The sequence below is a fragment of the Homo sapiens genome, chromosome X, assembly GCF_000001405.40.
Source record: "Homo sapiens chromosome X, GRCh38.p14 Primary Assembly".
Lineage (NCBI taxonomy): Eukaryota > Metazoa > Chordata > Mammalia > Primates > Hominidae > Homo > Homo sapiens.
The window spans coordinates 102,462,543-102,479,294 of NC_000023.11; the positions used below are offsets into that span (position 1 = coordinate 102,462,543).

Sequence of the window (16,752 nt, forward strand, 5' to 3'; positions counted from 1 at the left end):
TTCTAGATATACATAGCACAAATCCACTGTCATTCAATCACGTATATAATGACTCATTTTTAGCAAACACATAAGGAATATTTGTAGCAAACTGGCTTCCACACTCTCCTCTTTGGAAAATAAGTTTTATTTTCTGTATCCCAAACCTCAATACAAATTATCAAAGATACCAAAATCTTTGAAGATCATTTCCAAGGGCCTTTGTGTGGTTTGTGATGAAGAATAAGCAATAATAGTATTGATATTACCTATGTCCCAAATACCACACATTTCCCTCTCTAACAGAGATCTATGAATCTTACCTGGAGATAAATTCCTCAGTTAGGGCCTTGGTGGTGCATTTCAGTCTATCCACAAATTCAGGTGATCTGAATAAAACTTCACCAGAGAAGCTTCTGGCCACTAGCAAGACTGAGGCCAGGACAGTTAACTGGTGCAACTGGAATGCCAGTTCCTGGAGCCGGATTCTGTCCATCAGCAGAGTCTGGTGAGGGAGCGAAGGACAGCCCATCAGAAGAGGAGGGTTTGAATGGAGGCACTGAATACCATAGAACAAGGCAATGCCCAAACACACATCCCTACCTCTGGGAATTCTACGTTTTCAAGATCCCAGAGGAGGAGGTTCAGGTAGCCTTGGTATAGCACCATTGTTGGACTGGGGGGCTCTGAATTGTTACCTGCCCCGCTTGGAAGTGAACACGCCATGCTGCAGGAGGAGCTAGGTGAGTCAGGAGAACTCGGACATAGTGTAGTGATGTCTGTGGCTGCTTTGGTTAGCCATTTTGTGGTATAATCGAGGAGACCTACGACGAGAAGGGAATATGCATCTTAAAATTCCAAGGCTTAAAGATGATGGCTCTGAGACATACTCTTGGTCTATAAAGAAGTGATTTTGTAGATCTTTCTATCTTAGAGAAACATTCCTTCTCCCTACCCCTTGCCCAAGGAAGAAACTTTCTATTCAAAAAATAGAAAATAGCCTCTATTGCTATAAGAAGGCAGACCTGAGGTCAAATCTCCCCTCTCCTGCCCTTGAATTTTAAACATACTGGGCTGTTTATCAAGGAGTTCCTGGAATTTAGCTTGTTCATACTGGATGGAATGTTCCTGCAGGTAGGGTCGAAAGCTCTGGATGGTATAGTTCACCATGTCCATTTTCATTAGGCCCAGAACACGGAGGATGCCCCTGCCGTAGGGAGAAACAGAACATTTACACTATTAAAGGAAATCTAGTCTGGAAGGGTGGAATCCAAGCAAGGAGCCATAAAAGCAGAGTATTTGAGAGTCAGAAGAAGCCTTAAAAACAAACAGTCCTATTTCAACTTATGAATAATGGTACTGTGGCCAGTGACCCAAGGCCATAGAGTGAGTTGATGGCAAAACTAAGGACAGTTATACCTCCTGACACTTTAACAACCAGATGAGAGCTCTTTTGCCTGTAGTCAGTCTGTCACCTTGAAAAAAGGGTAGTCAGTGAAAGGAAAATCACCAAGGTGTTAACAATTATATGTGGGTAGCTGGGATGTGGGTGACTGAATTTCTAACTCATTGAGCAGATCATTTTACTTTTCCGGGTCCTGGTTCTTCTAGCTGTGAAACACGGATAATCCTCTTTCCTGTCCCCTCACAAGGTCTGAGTTGGGACAAACAGGACAACATCTGGGAAAAGGCAATTTGCAATCTATAGGAGAAAGAATTACTGTACCTTAATGTCTTAACAGTATCATGACATAAAGGAGACCCAACTGATCTAAAGATCATCAAAAGGAACCCCGAGAGACTGTCCTTGGAAAATAAAAGCCAATAATCCAGAAAGGAGAAAAGGTGTGTTAGTCAGGTCATCAGTACACAAGAGTTAGATAAGACAGGGGCTATATCCACAGTGGCTGGCTCAGAGTTCTCCGGCACAGTGTCTAAGGCAGATTTGGGGGACAGCACATCTAGACTCTCACCTCAGTAACTGCACTGGATCTCTTATGGTCTCTAGTTTCTGTATCGCTTCATCTCGAACCGGTGCACATAGCAGAGCCATCAAATTGAGAATGTAGTTAGAAAGATGAGGGACATCCAGGGCCCCATGTTCTGCTTCCTGCTTGAGGAGATCTGTGTCCAGAGCTTCTTCTATCTCATTTCTTAGGCGGTTCTGCCATGGTAATAGCAGTGATAGCAAGGTCTGCCCAACAAAGGAAATCAAAGGAGCCAAGTTCTGTTCAGAACCTCAAACTTTCTCCAATGAACTATGCTCTTAGGCCAAAGGCATCCCAGATTATGTCTTCTGGGGGGGCAGAGAACTGAGTCTCTACATTTCTTAGAGAGTATTATTTCTTTCTGTCTAGAGGACAATTACCATTCAAGGCTTCACTGGGATCAGTTATAGTAGTAGTCATTACTATTTTTTAGGTAGAATGAGGTAAAAATATGAATAAAAATAAGAATGTGGTTTTAAATGTGTGGGATATAAGAAATATGAAATACACACCACCACAAGGAGATGAGGCATTCTTAATAAAGGATAAGGATATTTTTAGATTGTTTTACTCCAAAGTGTGAGGATAAAATAGCAAATCTGGAATCTTTAAGGTTCCCTTGAAATAGCCTTTTGACTCAAGCATGCAAGTTCCTTGTGGGCAAGGGCTCGCCTATTCATCTCCGGGATTCTGAAACACATAGACCATAGTGGGGTTTCAGTAAGAATTTGTTTAATTGAGTTATATATTGTTATAGTCATCGCCCAATGGTCAAGTTTCATCTTATACAAATAAAATGGAAGCTGCCCCATCCTATCTATTTAAGTAGTAGGTCACGTTAAAAAAAGTATGCTACTTGATATATTAACAGCCATTGACGATCCAAGGTTCTGAGATGCCCAGGAACTTCCCATCCACGAATGGGAGTTGGTTACTCACCTCCTTAACATCTTTTAGAAGTTCAAGGGCACAAGTGAAGTCAGGAGGAGTACTCAATAGCTGTTCTTTCAGATGGTTCCAAAAAGCATTGTACATTGCCTCCGCAAACCTGCCTTCTACACTATAAGAAGGGTTAAATGAGCAGATTGCTCTTTTACCTAGAAAATTGATACAGGATCATAATTTCCCAAACAGCATTTAAAATTATGAAAGACCATTAACTTGACAGGCTAGGAGGACCTATGTTTAGACTTGAGAAGGGCTGAATAAACTGAAGGTAGTCTCAGATGGAAAAGCATTGGCTAAATTCTCTCAGAAGGGTACCTCAAGGTTCCAGAGACACTCTCTTCCTGCAGCAGGAAGAACCATAAACTAGGAGTTGAGACTCTGACTTCTAACCCTAGTTCTGCACCTAGCCTGGATGTGTGACTTAGTTTCCACTGCCATAGACTTAAAACTTTGAACCAGATGCTATTTTTCCTTCAGGCCTGAAATCTAGGAAAGGATTTTACCTCTTGATAATACCTGAAGGTCTTCTGAGACACTTTAAATTCAGCAAGCCCAAAACTGAACTCCTTATCTTCCTTCTTTAAATTTGTTCCTCATGTATACTTAGTTCTGTAACCAGAAATCTGAGACTTTTTCTCTTTAAAAAAATATAATAGTAGGCCGGGCGCGGTGGCTCACGCCTGTAATCCCAGCATTTTGGGAGGTCGATGCGGGCGGATCACGAGGTCAGGAGTTTGAGACCATCCTGGCCAACATGGTGAAACCCCGTCTCTACTAAAAACACAACAATTAGCTGGGCGTGGTGGCGGGTGCCTATAGTCCCAGCTACTCCGGAGGTTGAGGCAGGAGAATTGCTTAAACCCGGGAAGCAGAGTTTGCAGTGAGCCGAAATAGTGCCACTGCACTCCAGCCTGGTGACAGAGCGAGACTCGGTCTCAAAAAAAAAAAAAAAAAAAAAAAAAAAAATATATATATATATATATATGTATATACACACACACACATATATACACACACGTGTGTATATATACGTGTATGTATATAATAGTAATGTATGTTTTCTGTTTACAAAAATACAAGTGATTAAAAAATATATGAAACAAAAATTCAAAGTTTCTCCTCCAACACAACAATCTAACCTGTGAAAGTTCAACTATTATCTATCTGGTGTGTACTGTAGTCCTTCTTAATTCCTTTCCCCTCATGTCCTTTATCCACTCAGTCACCCAATTCCAGAGATTTTGCTTCCTAAATATCTCTGGAATCGGCCCCCACCCACTGTCATCTCTTTCCTGAACTATTGCTATAGTCTATTAAATGGCCACCTTACACCCACAAAACCTTACCCCAACAATGGTACATATTTTTGATAAAAATCAATGAGTTTTCTAAGATACAAATCTGATCATAATAGTATACTCATTTAAAGTTCTTCAGACGCTACCTATCTCTAGCAGTGTACGTGGCCTTTAAGTCCCTTCACGATCCTATTCTGCCACTTCTCCTACCTTAACCTTCTTTCTCCTCCTACATCCTGTGCTCTAACAATCACAGTCCACTTATAATTAATATATAATTGTCTTCCATCCCTCTATGGCTCTGAAATGACATTTCCTCTTCCAGGAGAGTCCCTTCTCCCCTAAACCACCTGAAAAGACTCAATTCAAGTGTTACCTTATTAGGAAAGTCTTCGCTGACCTTCCCCAGGTAGCTGAGCACTGCATAGAACTCCACACACTAGATATGAGATAACTTATCACTCTGCACAGTAGCTATTTGACTATCTTCCCTACAGAAGCTTTTTGATGGCAAAGACAGTGACTCACTCAACTATATGTCTTCAGCTTTCAACATTCTGCCTTCCACCTAATAAGTACTCAATAAATGTTTGTTGAATAAATGTCTTATTATGAGATTTCCCCTAAAAACCGATAACTGTGCTTAGTATAATTTTATAAGTCCAAAGGGAAAACTGTCAATTATCTGTAGATAATGGATAACCCCAAACTCTATTTCAACCTCTTATCCAGTATACATTTTGTATTACTACATTTGAAAAAGCCTGTTAATTTAAAAAACACAGTGAAATCCAAGCCCTAAATAATATTATTCCTCCTGCTTCATCTATCCACCCCCTGAGATCCCTAGCCACTTTAACAGACCTTCATTCTCTTAGCTTCACTTTTTTCTGCACCCCTACCAGGAGAAAAACAAATCTAACTCGGGCCGCAGGGACTATAAAGGCAATGAGGGAGATGCTACGAGACCTGTGTTTTGGTAAAAACTTCCTTCAGGTAACCCATCCTTGGCAACAGACAAAGGAAAATCTAAGAAGTATGAAGATCAAGAGAACCACTGACAAAGCAAGGGGCTTTACGTAACAGAATCCCAAAAGTGGCAAAATAACAGAAGCATTTAAGGTGGGAAATTAGAAATACCGTAAAATATAGATTCTGACAAAGAAATCAACCCATTTAACTCTTAATAAACACTAGAAGCATTCAATCCATAAATGCTGGATGATTCTTAATCATATATTGTTATATCAATATAATTAAGAGAAACCAATATAAAGCCTAATTGTAGAAGCACACTATTTATCGATGGGGTTCTAATCTTGATTCACAGAATCTTTATTACACTGATTATGAAGCAGAAGTGTCCCCTGAAATTTCCTACTCCTGAAGAGTGAACAAAACCACTATTAGAAAATCTGCTCATCTCTGCCTGTTTAATCTGCAGATAATTAAAAGTTGAACGGCTAGGAGTTACCTCTTCCAAGTCTGTCTGAAAAGATCTGAAAATCACTCTACGTTTCATTATTAACTAAGATCCTGAAATGAACATTTTGACAATACAGAATGAATACCCCTTTTCCAAGATGTTTGGGACGGGAGTATTTTGGATTACGGATTATTATTGTTATTATTATTATTTGAGACAGGGTCTCACTCTGTCGCCCAGACTGGAGTGCAGTGGCGTGTTCGCGATCTCAGTTCACTGCAACCTCTGCTTCCCAGGCTCAAGGGATCCTCCCACCTCAGCCTCCTGAGTAGCTGGGACTACAGGCATGCACCACCATGCCCGGCTAATTTTTGTATTTTTTGCATAGACAAGGTTTCGCCATGTTGCCCAGGCTGGCCTTGACTTCCTGGACTCAAGCAATCCACCTGCCTCGGCCTCCCAAAGTGTTGGAACTTAACAGTCGTGAGACACTGCGCCTAGCCAGATTACGGATTTCTTGGATTTTGGAATATTTGCAGCATACTTGTATACCGCAATGAGCATTTCCTTTGAGCATCATGTTGGCGCTCAAAATGTTTTGGATTTTGGAGCATCGTGGATTTCCGATTTGGGATGTTCAACCTGTAACTGCATTGGTTTATTACCTGTTTAAATATAATTTGCTGCTTTGACACTTTTAAAGTAATACTTACACTAATTTGTCGGTACTATATAAGACACACTCAACCATTAAATTTATTAATAAGATGCTTCAAGTCTGACCAAAAGTCATTTGTGCTATGTACCTATGCCCCGAAGAGTAAAATGGAAAAAAACTGAATAATCTGTACCTGTTTGGAGGCAAAATGGTCTCTTCCACATAGAAATCTTGGTTTACTACAATTTCATGTGAAATGCTCAGCTTGGAAACTTCATTAACTGTCTCTATCAGATCTGTGACAGAAAAGACATCAGGTCTGCTTTCCGGAAAAAGAAAGAAAAAAAGCATAGCCATCATCAACAGGGAACCCACACAAAGAGAATTTTTATTTTATTTAGAGATTCACTCTGCCAAGTAAGGCTCCCAAGTTTAGATTCATCAAACGGATCTTACACAGACTTATTCAATCATTTTACCACCAGAAGTTTTCTGAACTCTTTGCTCTTCAGTAACACTGAACATCTCAGAGAAGTCAGGCATGGGAGGAAGAAATTAGTTTTTGAAAAACATAAAACAGTTTTGAAAACCTTCCACTTGAAATGTAAAACCATAAGCAAAACACAGCAAACAATGAATAAGTTGTGATTTGTAAAATTAATGTGTATCTAAAAGTTATTGTGTTCCCACTGTTCTCTTCCTACCTCAGGGGCTACACACAAGATGAAGGCTAAAATCTCCTTATAGATACCACACGAATCTTACTAGATGGCTCTAAAGCTGAAACCTGCTCCTAAAACAGTAGTTTCCAAATCTGGGTATTCAACAGACAACACTTCAAAACAACATGAGTGACAGATAATGATTTGACAATTTTTATTTTTCCACATATGGACATGAAAGCAAACAAGCAAACAATGAAACTACCCTACCATCATCAAAATAATCACTTCATAAAAAGAAAACATATTTTAACACCTCAGAAAGTATAAAGAAAACACAGTCAGCATTAAGAGTACTCTTTTAAATTGAATCAATTTAATATTATTTTAAAAACTCATTACAACCTCTTTATTGTTTTATTTCATTCAATATTGGTAAGAACTATGTCCTAGCCCAGCATTCGAATTTGGGAACCAGTGTTCTAAATTCATCATACAGAGTACTTTCAGTAGTAAAACAAAGTATATATAGTAGTCACAATTATTACTTGATATGTAAAATAAAATATGCAATAAAACTATTTTGTAACTCAATTTTAATGTAGTTTCATAACTTGGTCAGAGAGAACGATTTATCCTTAAGATATAATAAAACTCACATATAAGAATCCTAAAGCTCACTCCAAGAAGATGGTCCATTTATGCCCATTTATTTTTCATTTAAAAAACCGTTGATAAGACTTCTGTTGAAAAGTTGGTCCATCAACTGGTATTTCCCTTCTATACTAACTAAAAAGCTACATATGTTAAAATATACCATCTAATTAATTCATTAAGACATCATTTCTTTGAGAGATATTATGAAGTATGAATTGTGCCATTCTGCTTACTAGCAGTGACCCCAAGTGGCCACCAGAGAAACACACGTAATTCAACTTCATATTTTTTCCCCGTTTCAGTGTTCAAGAGGTTGGATCAAATTGCTACATCTGGAGAGGTCTGCAGATTAACCTTTGGTTAAATTCACTGGAGATTATTGTAAAAGAACTGCAATTTGAGTTCCTGTGAGGTTGGACTAGTCAAGCCAAAGCTTCAAATGCCTAACATAAGGTGTGAAAAAGACTTAAAGTCCCAATGTTCACATAAAAATGCTATTATTAAAGACCTAAATAATTTTACCCCAGAGCAGTGGTAATTTTTATGTCAACAAAGCACCCCTGGAAAAGGACAGAACACAACTGAAGCAACAGATAATTTGGATCACTTCGATCTGTCCTAGATCTACCATTTGCACTTTACAAAATCAAAATACAAGAATGCTATTTATTTCCCAGGCTTTGAACTGACTAAATCACTCTCGACTGTTGTCAAACACAAGTAACTTGCTTTGTCGGTCTCTTTCTCTAAAACCAAAATCTTTTAATTTTACTTACCAATTAGGGGCCTAAGTCCTGCATGTAAAAATTAGAGGGGGCAGAAAGACAAGAGAAAGAATAATCCAAAAGAGGACTAACAGAAGGATTAGTAAGGAAAAATGCAAGGTTGCAAGAGCCTTCTATATCCCTTAAAGGCCCTTAAATCACAGGCTGTCTATTCCTTTAGCCTAATTGCTGTCCATAGAAGTGATGACATGATTCTAGACCTACCAGGAGACTGGTCATCTAAACAGAAACTCTTGCTTTTCTGGCTCTGCCCTGGTGTTTTAGGCTCAGGGGCCCCATTCTCTGCTACACTGGGATCATTCTGGAGCACAGTTTCCTCAGTCTTCGGCATCTTGATGTTATCTGGAATTGGAGAGAAAAGAAGAGGCAAGCTGTGTAAGACCTGACTCTCGCCCAGGGACAAAAAGAAAGAGCGCTCTTCAACTACAATTGTGTGTCCTGGTGACTGAACCCGCTGCCGTCAGTTGAAAGGATTAAGTACCAGGGCTCAAAGGTTCTCAAAGGAACAACTAGGGTCTTCAAACAGGCCTCGAGGGGAAGGGGAATTAGTGGCACTTCCTTTACTGAAATCAAAGAAGTCTGGTCTTGGGCAAGCAGAAGAGGAAAACAAGGCCCAGAGATGGACAATTAACTCGCCAGAAGCGGGGCACACTGCACATTACTGACCAAGCTAGGAAAGGAATCTTCCTCGGCTCTGGCTACCTTTCATTGGTCCTGGAATACCTTCTAACTCCTTAGCTACTGCTCCAGACCTTCCTGAAGGGGCTCTGCCGGCCTGGACTCAGGCAGCAGGGTATCCCCCACAGCCCTCGCGACCCTGGTCCCTCACCTCCTCCTCGTCCTCGACTGGCGGCCTCGCCTCTGCGTCTGCTAGCGAAGCCCCTCTGCCTCCCCAACCTGGTCTGGGAAGTACCATTGTAGCCAGGAAGAGAGGGGAGATCATCAGGGAGGAGTAGGACGGAACCATGGAGATTATGAGGTCCACCTGGAGCGCACCCCTACCTGTGACACAAGATAGGAGAGTCCAAACATGAAAACAAAGGGTGATCCGTTTCCAGGGTAGCGGGGTGGTATCACTTGCCCAGGGTGCCTTGGAAACCAAGACGGCAGGAAACGCAAGCAGAGCCTCACCATTGGGTGACAAAGGCAGGAGGCTGAGATAGACGTAAGGAGGCTTCATGTCCATACCCTCCCGCCCAGGCTCGGAACCCCTCAGGAGCTTGGAAGTCATCTTCTCAAGCCCTGCTCCTCGTGAACGAACTGTTCAAAGCTTTTATCCTTACTGCCCCAGAAACAAAAATAGCATTTAAATAACTATTTAGGGGGAAAAAATAAGCGTTTGTTGTTTATTTGTTTCACTTCATGCTGTTCATACAGCCCCTACAAATGAAGAACCAACAGGGCTACAAAATTCCAGAAGTCTGTTTTGGGTTTTCTTTTATCTTTTGTATAAGTGAATCCTCCACACAAAGTAAGGAGAGACACATGAACTGTTAAACTCTCATTTTACAAATATGCAAATCAAGAATCATTTTAAAGGGCTAGCCACAGAAGCTGTGTGGTAAAGGGGCAAGACCATAAGCCTGAGAGGAATCCTACATTTTGGTTTGGGTTCTTTCAGCTCAATTCTTGGCATGTTCTTCATTGCAATCCAATTGTGAGCTTTGGAGCTCATCTGTAAACTGAGGGCACTGGAACGGACGATCCTAAGGGGCCTCATGTTGCTCACTCTTCAGTCCTAGTCTACTTTGTCACTCCACTGGCCAGTCACCACAGTGATATGAGGACCCCTGGATTGGCCTATTTCCAGCATATATACATTTCCACACTATACTAGTTGATCCCTCTCTTACCCTGACTTAATTTCTTAACACATTAACTTGTTTCTTTTATAAATCAAGACTATACTTTGACCAGATTCTCACCACAATCCTCGCCTTGTTAGTGGCAACAGTACCGTGTGAATATCTTGCACAACATGGGGATTTTGAAGAAGAAAGTTATGGGGAAGAGGTCCAAGAACTTTCCAGCCTAGGAAAAATCCACCTTAACTTCCAGGCACAGGAGGATATGAGGGGACTTGGCTAGTAAAGTTAGCGCTTAGCTAAAGAGTTTATTTTACTAATGAATACTAAATCTGAATTCCCTCCTCATCCTCTCCTAGTATTTCCTTCAGTAATATCAGCTGTGAAACAAATTGCTCTCATATCAACCCCAGGATAAATGTTTAAATATATTTTTCTTGATTTGAACATAAAATTATACATTCATAAGGCATATGTTTCACTATACCAGAAGTTCATTTCTCATTAAAAAAATCAGAATTCTATTGTATTTCTTTCTAAGAAAACCTTCCAGAATGACACCAATTCATCTTCTCACAAAATTGCATTGTTAAAAAAAAAAAAAACTCTACGCAGTGATAACCTAAAATTCTATCAGCTCTTCATTCAAATAGTGAAATAGTCTTTTGAAGTGTCTTTTAATATTGAAATCCCCTGGGAGAGGTAATGAGGGGAAATAGAAGTGTGGGAAAAATAAAGGGAGAGAACTAGTGGAAAACAGCAAATCACATTTTGCCTAGGGATGGCCCAGATACTGTATTTAATAATACGTATTATCAAGAGTTGTCAAGAACCAACTAGAGGAACAGAGAGAGATGGTGGAATAGAAGGCTATACCTTGTGTACCCCCTGCAGGAACACCAAATTGCAACCACTATCTGCATACAGAAAAGCATCATCATGAGAACCAAAAGTCAGGTGAGCAATCACAGTGCCTGGTTTTAAATTCATATTGTTGGAACAGACATTCAAGAGGTCAGACAGAGACAGTCAGTCTTAAATCGCCGATGCCACCCCTCCCCCGTATCCTGGCAGCAGCTGTGCAGCCCAGAGAGTCTGTACACTTGGGAGAAGAAGAAGGCAGTGACTGGGGAACTTCACATTGAACTCAGTGCTACCCTGCCATACCAGAGAGCAAAGCCGTGCTGGGCTCAGCCAGTGCCCACTCACAGAGGGAGCATCTGGACCAGACCTAGCTAGAGGGGATTCACCCATCCCAGGGCGGAGAACTTGAGTCTCTCGGCAATCCACACCACTACAGGCCAAAGTGCTCTGGGGTCCCAGGTAAACTTGAAGGGATGCCTAGGACACAAAGACTGCAATTCCTAGGCAACTCCTAGGAAATTAAACGATATGCACATAAATGAACAGTGGATCAAAAAAGAAGTTAAAAAGGAAACTGAAAACTTTTACGAAACAAATGATAATGGAAACACAACATACCAAAACCTATGGGATACAGAAAAAGCAGTACTGATATCAAAATTTATAGCTGTAAATGCCTACATTGAAAAGAAGAACGACTTCAAATAAAAAACCTAATGATGCATCATAAAGAACTATAAAAATAAGAGTAAATTAGAGGAAAACAAATTAGAAGAAAAGAAACAATAAAGATCAGAGCAGAAATAAATGAATTTGAAATGAAGAAAACAATACAAAAGATCAATGAAACAAAAAGTTGCTTTTTTGTTAAAGGTAAACAAAATTGACAAATGTTTAGCCGGACTCATGAAGAACAAAATGGAGAAGACCCAAATAAATAAAATCAGAGATGGAAGAGGAGACATTACGACTGATACCACAGAAATTCAAAGAATCACCAGTGGCTACTATGAGCAAGGATATGCCAATAGATTGGAAAATCTAGAAGAAATGGATAAATTTCTAGACACATACAATCTACCAAGATTGAAACACGAAGAAATCCGAAACCTGAGCAGACCAATAACAGGTAACACAGTAAAGCCTTAATAAATAGTCTCCGTCTATAGTAAAGCAAAGCCCGAGACCTTATGACCTCACTGCTAAATTCTACCAAACATTTAAAGAAGAACTAATGCCAGTCCTACTCAAACTACTCTGAAAAATAGAGGAGGAGAAAATATTTTCAAACTCATCCTACAATGCCAGTATTACCCTGATACCAAAACCAGACAAACACACATCAAAAAAGGAAAACTACAGGCCAATGTCTCTGATGAATATTGATGCAAAAATCCTCGACAAAATACTAGTGAACCCAATTCGACAATACACTAGAAAGATCTTTAATCATGACCAGGAAGGATTTATCCCTGGGATGCAAAGATGGTTCAACATGCACAAATAAATCAGTGTGACACATCATACCAACAGAATGAAGGACGAAAACCATATTATCATTTCAAGTGATGCTGAAAAAGCATTTGATAAAATTCAACATTACTTTATCATAAAAGCCCCCAAAACACTGTGTATAGAAGGAACACGCCTCAACATAATAAAAGCCATAAAAAACAGAGATCCACAGCTAGTATCATAAGAATGAGTAGAAAGTGAAAGTCTTTCCTGTAAGATCTGGAATACAACAAGGATACCCACTTTCACTCCTGTTGTTTCACCACTATGAAACTACTACTACAAGAAAACATTGGGGAAACTGTCCAGGATATTGGTCTGGGCAAAAAATTCTTGAGTAATATCCCATAAGCACAGGCAAACCAAGGCAAAAATAGACAAATGGAATCACATCAAGTAAAAAGCTTCTGCACAGTAAAGAAAACAATCACAAAATGAAGAGACAACACACAGAATGGGAGAAATATTTGCAAACTACCCACCTGACAAGAGATTAATAACCAGTATATATAAGGAGCTCAAACAACTCTATAGGAGAAAATCTAATAATCCAATTAAAACATGGGCAAAAGATCTGAATAGACATTTCTCAAAAGAAGACATACAAATGGCAAACAAGCGCATGAAAAGGTGCTCGACATTAGTGATCATCAGAGAAATGCAAATCAAAACTACAGTGAGGTATCATCCGCCCCAGTTAAAATGGCTTATATCCGAAAGACAGACAATAACAAATGCTGGCAAAGTTGTGGACAAAAGGGAACCTTTGTACACTGTCGGCAGGAATGTAAATTAGTATAACCACTATGGAGAACACTTGGAAGTTCCTCAAAAAACTAAAAACAGAGCTACCGTATGATCCACCAATACCACTCCTGGGTATATTTCTAAAAGAAAGAAAATCAGTATATTGAAGAGATATCTGCACTCCTCAATATATATTTGTTGGCTTCTTTTATTTCTTGGCGCACTTGGGGTTACCCACTCTGAGTACACATATCACAGTTTGCAAAGTCATTTATGAGAATTTTATGCCTTCAGCAGGGAATTTTTACCCTTCAGATGTGCCTTAACTCTACCTCAATACTGTGACCAATTACCATTTGTTAAATTATACTTTATGTATACTACTCCAAAAAAGAAAATTATCCTGAGAGTCAATCTTATCCATAAGGACACAAAAGAAGACTACGTAAAAGATATTCATAGATGTCCATAAGTGGTATAAAATTACAGAATTTAAGAGGAATACTGGGTAAAAATAATTTAGTTAACACATAAAAATTTAAACATTTCATTTTCAGAAAGAACCATTTGAGACTCAGAGAACTTAAATCACTTCTCTAAGACTGCCACCAGTTTACAGAAAAGTCAGGACTAGAACCCATATCTCAGATTGTTTATTCCACAATATATAGAGCCATGCAACAGCAATTTAACTAAGTATACACATTTGCTAAAGAAAAAAATGTAAATGATAAAATGATACACAATGGATTGTAAAACCAAGAGGTGAAGTTAAATGGGACTTTATTAGTCAAGATTCTCCAGAGGGACAGAACCAATGGGCTATATGTATACATGAAAGGGAGTTTATTAGGGAGAATTGGTTCACATAATTACAAGACGAAGTCCCACAATAGGCTGCCTGCAAGCTGTGGAAGAGAAAAGGCAGTAGTGGCTCAGTCCAAGTCCAAAAGCCTCAAAACCAGGGAAGCCAACAGTGCAGCCTGCAGTCTGTGCCTAAAGGCCTGAGAGCCCTCAGCAAGCCACTGGTGCAAGTCCCCGAGTCCAAAGACCAAAGAATCTGGAGTCTGATGTCCAAGGCAGTAGGAGCGGAAGGAAGCTTCCAGCATGGGAAAAGGAAGCCAGAAGACTCAGCAAGCAAACTTATCCCAGCTTCTTTTGGCTGCTTTGTTCTAGCCATGCTGGCAACCAATTGGATGGTGCCTGCCCACATTAACGGTGGGTCTTCCTCTCCCAGTCCACTGACTCAAATGTCAGTCTCCTCTGGCAACACCCTCACAGACACACACAGAAACAATACTTTACCAGCCACATCCTTCAATTCAATCAAGTTCACACCTGATATTGACTATCCTGGGGCCCAAGATACAGTATAGTGTAGTGGAAGATAAACAGCTAACTAAAGTGGTGGGGACACATAAATACAGGATGGCGCCTTTATTTATTTTGTCTTATTAGAGATGAAGGTCTTGCTATGTTGCCCAGGCTAAACTCAAACTACTGGGCTGAAGCAACCCTCCTTCCTCAGCCTCCCAAGTAGCTGGGACCACGATGCACACCACCATATCCAGCTTTAAATAAAACCACACAGAGTCATAAAATAGATTTATTTCATTACACTTCTCCTTTACAGTACAAAACTACATATCAACATTATCCATGTTAATCTTTTACCAATGTGTTTTCTTCACAGAACACAAAAGGAGTATGAGAAGGTTCTAGGTAATCTGGGGGCTTCCAAGCTAAAAGTGAGGCATGATGGGTGGAGAAACCAGTATAGATCTTCAAGGAAAGGAGAGATACAGAGCAATGGAAGATGAAACTTCTGACAGCAGCATTTAGTGTCTACTTCTACATTCACATCTCACGCCATTCATTCCTAGCGCATGGCAATACTGACCTTTTTTTCCTTTTCCTTAACAGGCCACGTGCCTTCCCACCTCAAGATCTTAATCATGCTATTTTTTCCCCCTATGATGCTTTCTTCCTTCTTTACCCACTTTTCCAGGACTAACTGATTCCTCATTGCTCAAATCTCAGCTTTCAAATTCTAAATTCCTCAGAGAACTTTCTATGGTTCTCCAATCTAAACAAGAGTTCCCTATTAACCCTTCTCTTAACATTCTGTACTTTTTAATAATAGGAATTACCACAGTTTGTAATTATACATTTATTTGCATAATTAGTATTTACTGAATATTGAACTTCACCATGAGTCTAAGCTTTCTGAGGGCAGGGGCTGTGCATTTGGCTCTTCACTGTGCCTAGAACATAATGGATACTCAATAAATAAAGTGTGGAATATGAATAAATGTCCTAACCCCACAGGGCAACAACACTGTTGGGAGAATGACATAAAATGGAACATCCTTCCCTGCCAAATGTGCTGGACTCATCTTAGTTCCCAGAGTCAGCCTTTCTTTCTTTGTGTTATAAACATGTTTCCTCTCTGTGTCTCTTTCAGTTCTTGGCTTCAGAACTCTGATCCACAACCTTCCCAGGAAACTAATCCCCTTATCTATAATTACCAAAGAAGACAGCATGCTGTAAATCAGATTTGCAGGAAGTCAGATTGCTCTCTCTAGTAACAATCCAAGAAACTAAACAACTTCTGTAACAATTGGCCCCAAATGGCAAGTACTTTATTAATAGTTGACAGCTTTTCCAATTTTTGTTCCTGCATCCACCTAACAAACTAAATATGAACCTCCTAACCAATCACATAAATTGTTCTGCTTCTAGTTAGCCCACCTACAGCTTCCCTATGCGAAAAAGCTCCAATCAGGGAATACCTGAAGTCTTCCCTTTTTTCCACTATAAAGTTTTCCCACTTCTCTGCCTGCCTTTGAGTCTCTGCCAAAACACAAGTGATGATGGCTGACTCATTTGCTATAGTAAGTTCCGAATAAACAGTCTTCGCTTATTCTCATTTGGTTGCTTTTCATTTATTTCCATGCCAGCAAGTGTCTTTAAAGCCGAGAACGAATAAAGCATCAGCTTGGGAAAAAAGAGAGAACATTTTAGGTCCTGAGACCACAGGGGTTTTCCCAGGACATGTGGCAGCAGAGGGCAGCAGCATCCCAGAAGTGACTCAGAGAGGCCTATTCCTGGGTAAGGGATCTCTCACTATTACCCTCACTCTTGCTCTTTCTCATTCGCTGTCCTGCTTGTTTATAAGATGGTGTTAGAGGCAACCTCAGCCCAAAGATACCAGGCTGATTTTAAAGCCCTACCAAGAGCTGCATCACCACAATTGTACCTGGTGCTCCAGGACATGAATGAGTTACACACTTAGAGCAGTTTCAACAAAAATACACTCAGCTGGTTTTGAATTCTGGCAAAAGTTGGTAGCTTATTTATGGGGTTTTTTGTTTGGTTGTTTTTAACTAGAGAGATTTTTTGTGGACCCCAGAATGCATC

General features: G+C 39.9%; 1 protein-coding gene across 2 annotated transcripts in view, besides 1 other annotated feature; it reads right to left on the reverse strand.

Annotated features, from left to right (window-relative positions):
• Positions 1–9,270, reverse strand: part of TCP11X2 (t-complex 11 family, X-linked 2) — an 11,498-nt gene extending 2,228 nt beyond the window's left edge. Inside the window, exons 1-8 of one of the 2 annotated variants that reach the window (NM_001405027.1) lie at positions 9,231–9,270; positions 8,606–8,743; positions 6,491–6,593; positions 2,907–3,027; positions 1,953–2,173; positions 1,050–1,186; positions 583–803; positions 303–484 (exon numbers count right to left, since the gene is read on the reverse strand). In NM_001405027.1, the coding sequence (NP_001391956.1) occupies positions 303–484; positions 583–803; positions 1,050–1,186; positions 1,953–2,173; positions 2,907–3,027; positions 6,491–6,593; positions 8,606–8,732 (1,112 nt within the window). In that variant the 5' untranslated portion in view covers positions 8,733–8,743; positions 9,231–9,270. Of the gene's footprint in view, positions 1–302; positions 485–582; positions 804–1,049; positions 1,187–1,952; positions 2,174–2,906; positions 3,028–6,490; positions 6,617–8,605; positions 8,744–9,230 lie in introns of both variants that reach the window. The other variant, NM_001277423.2, reaches the window with a different exon arrangement.
• Positions 8,740–9,240: an enhancer, noted in NCBI's record as "H3K4me1 hESC enhancer chrX:101726202-101726702 (GRCh37/hg19 assembly coordinates)". NCBI's record gives its function as "activates a minimal SCP1, AML or CMV promoter by ChIP-STARR-seq in naive H9 embryonic stem cells {active_cell/tissue: H9 hESC(naive)}" and the evidence as "EXISTENCE:reporter gene assay evidence [ECO:0000049][PMID:30033119]".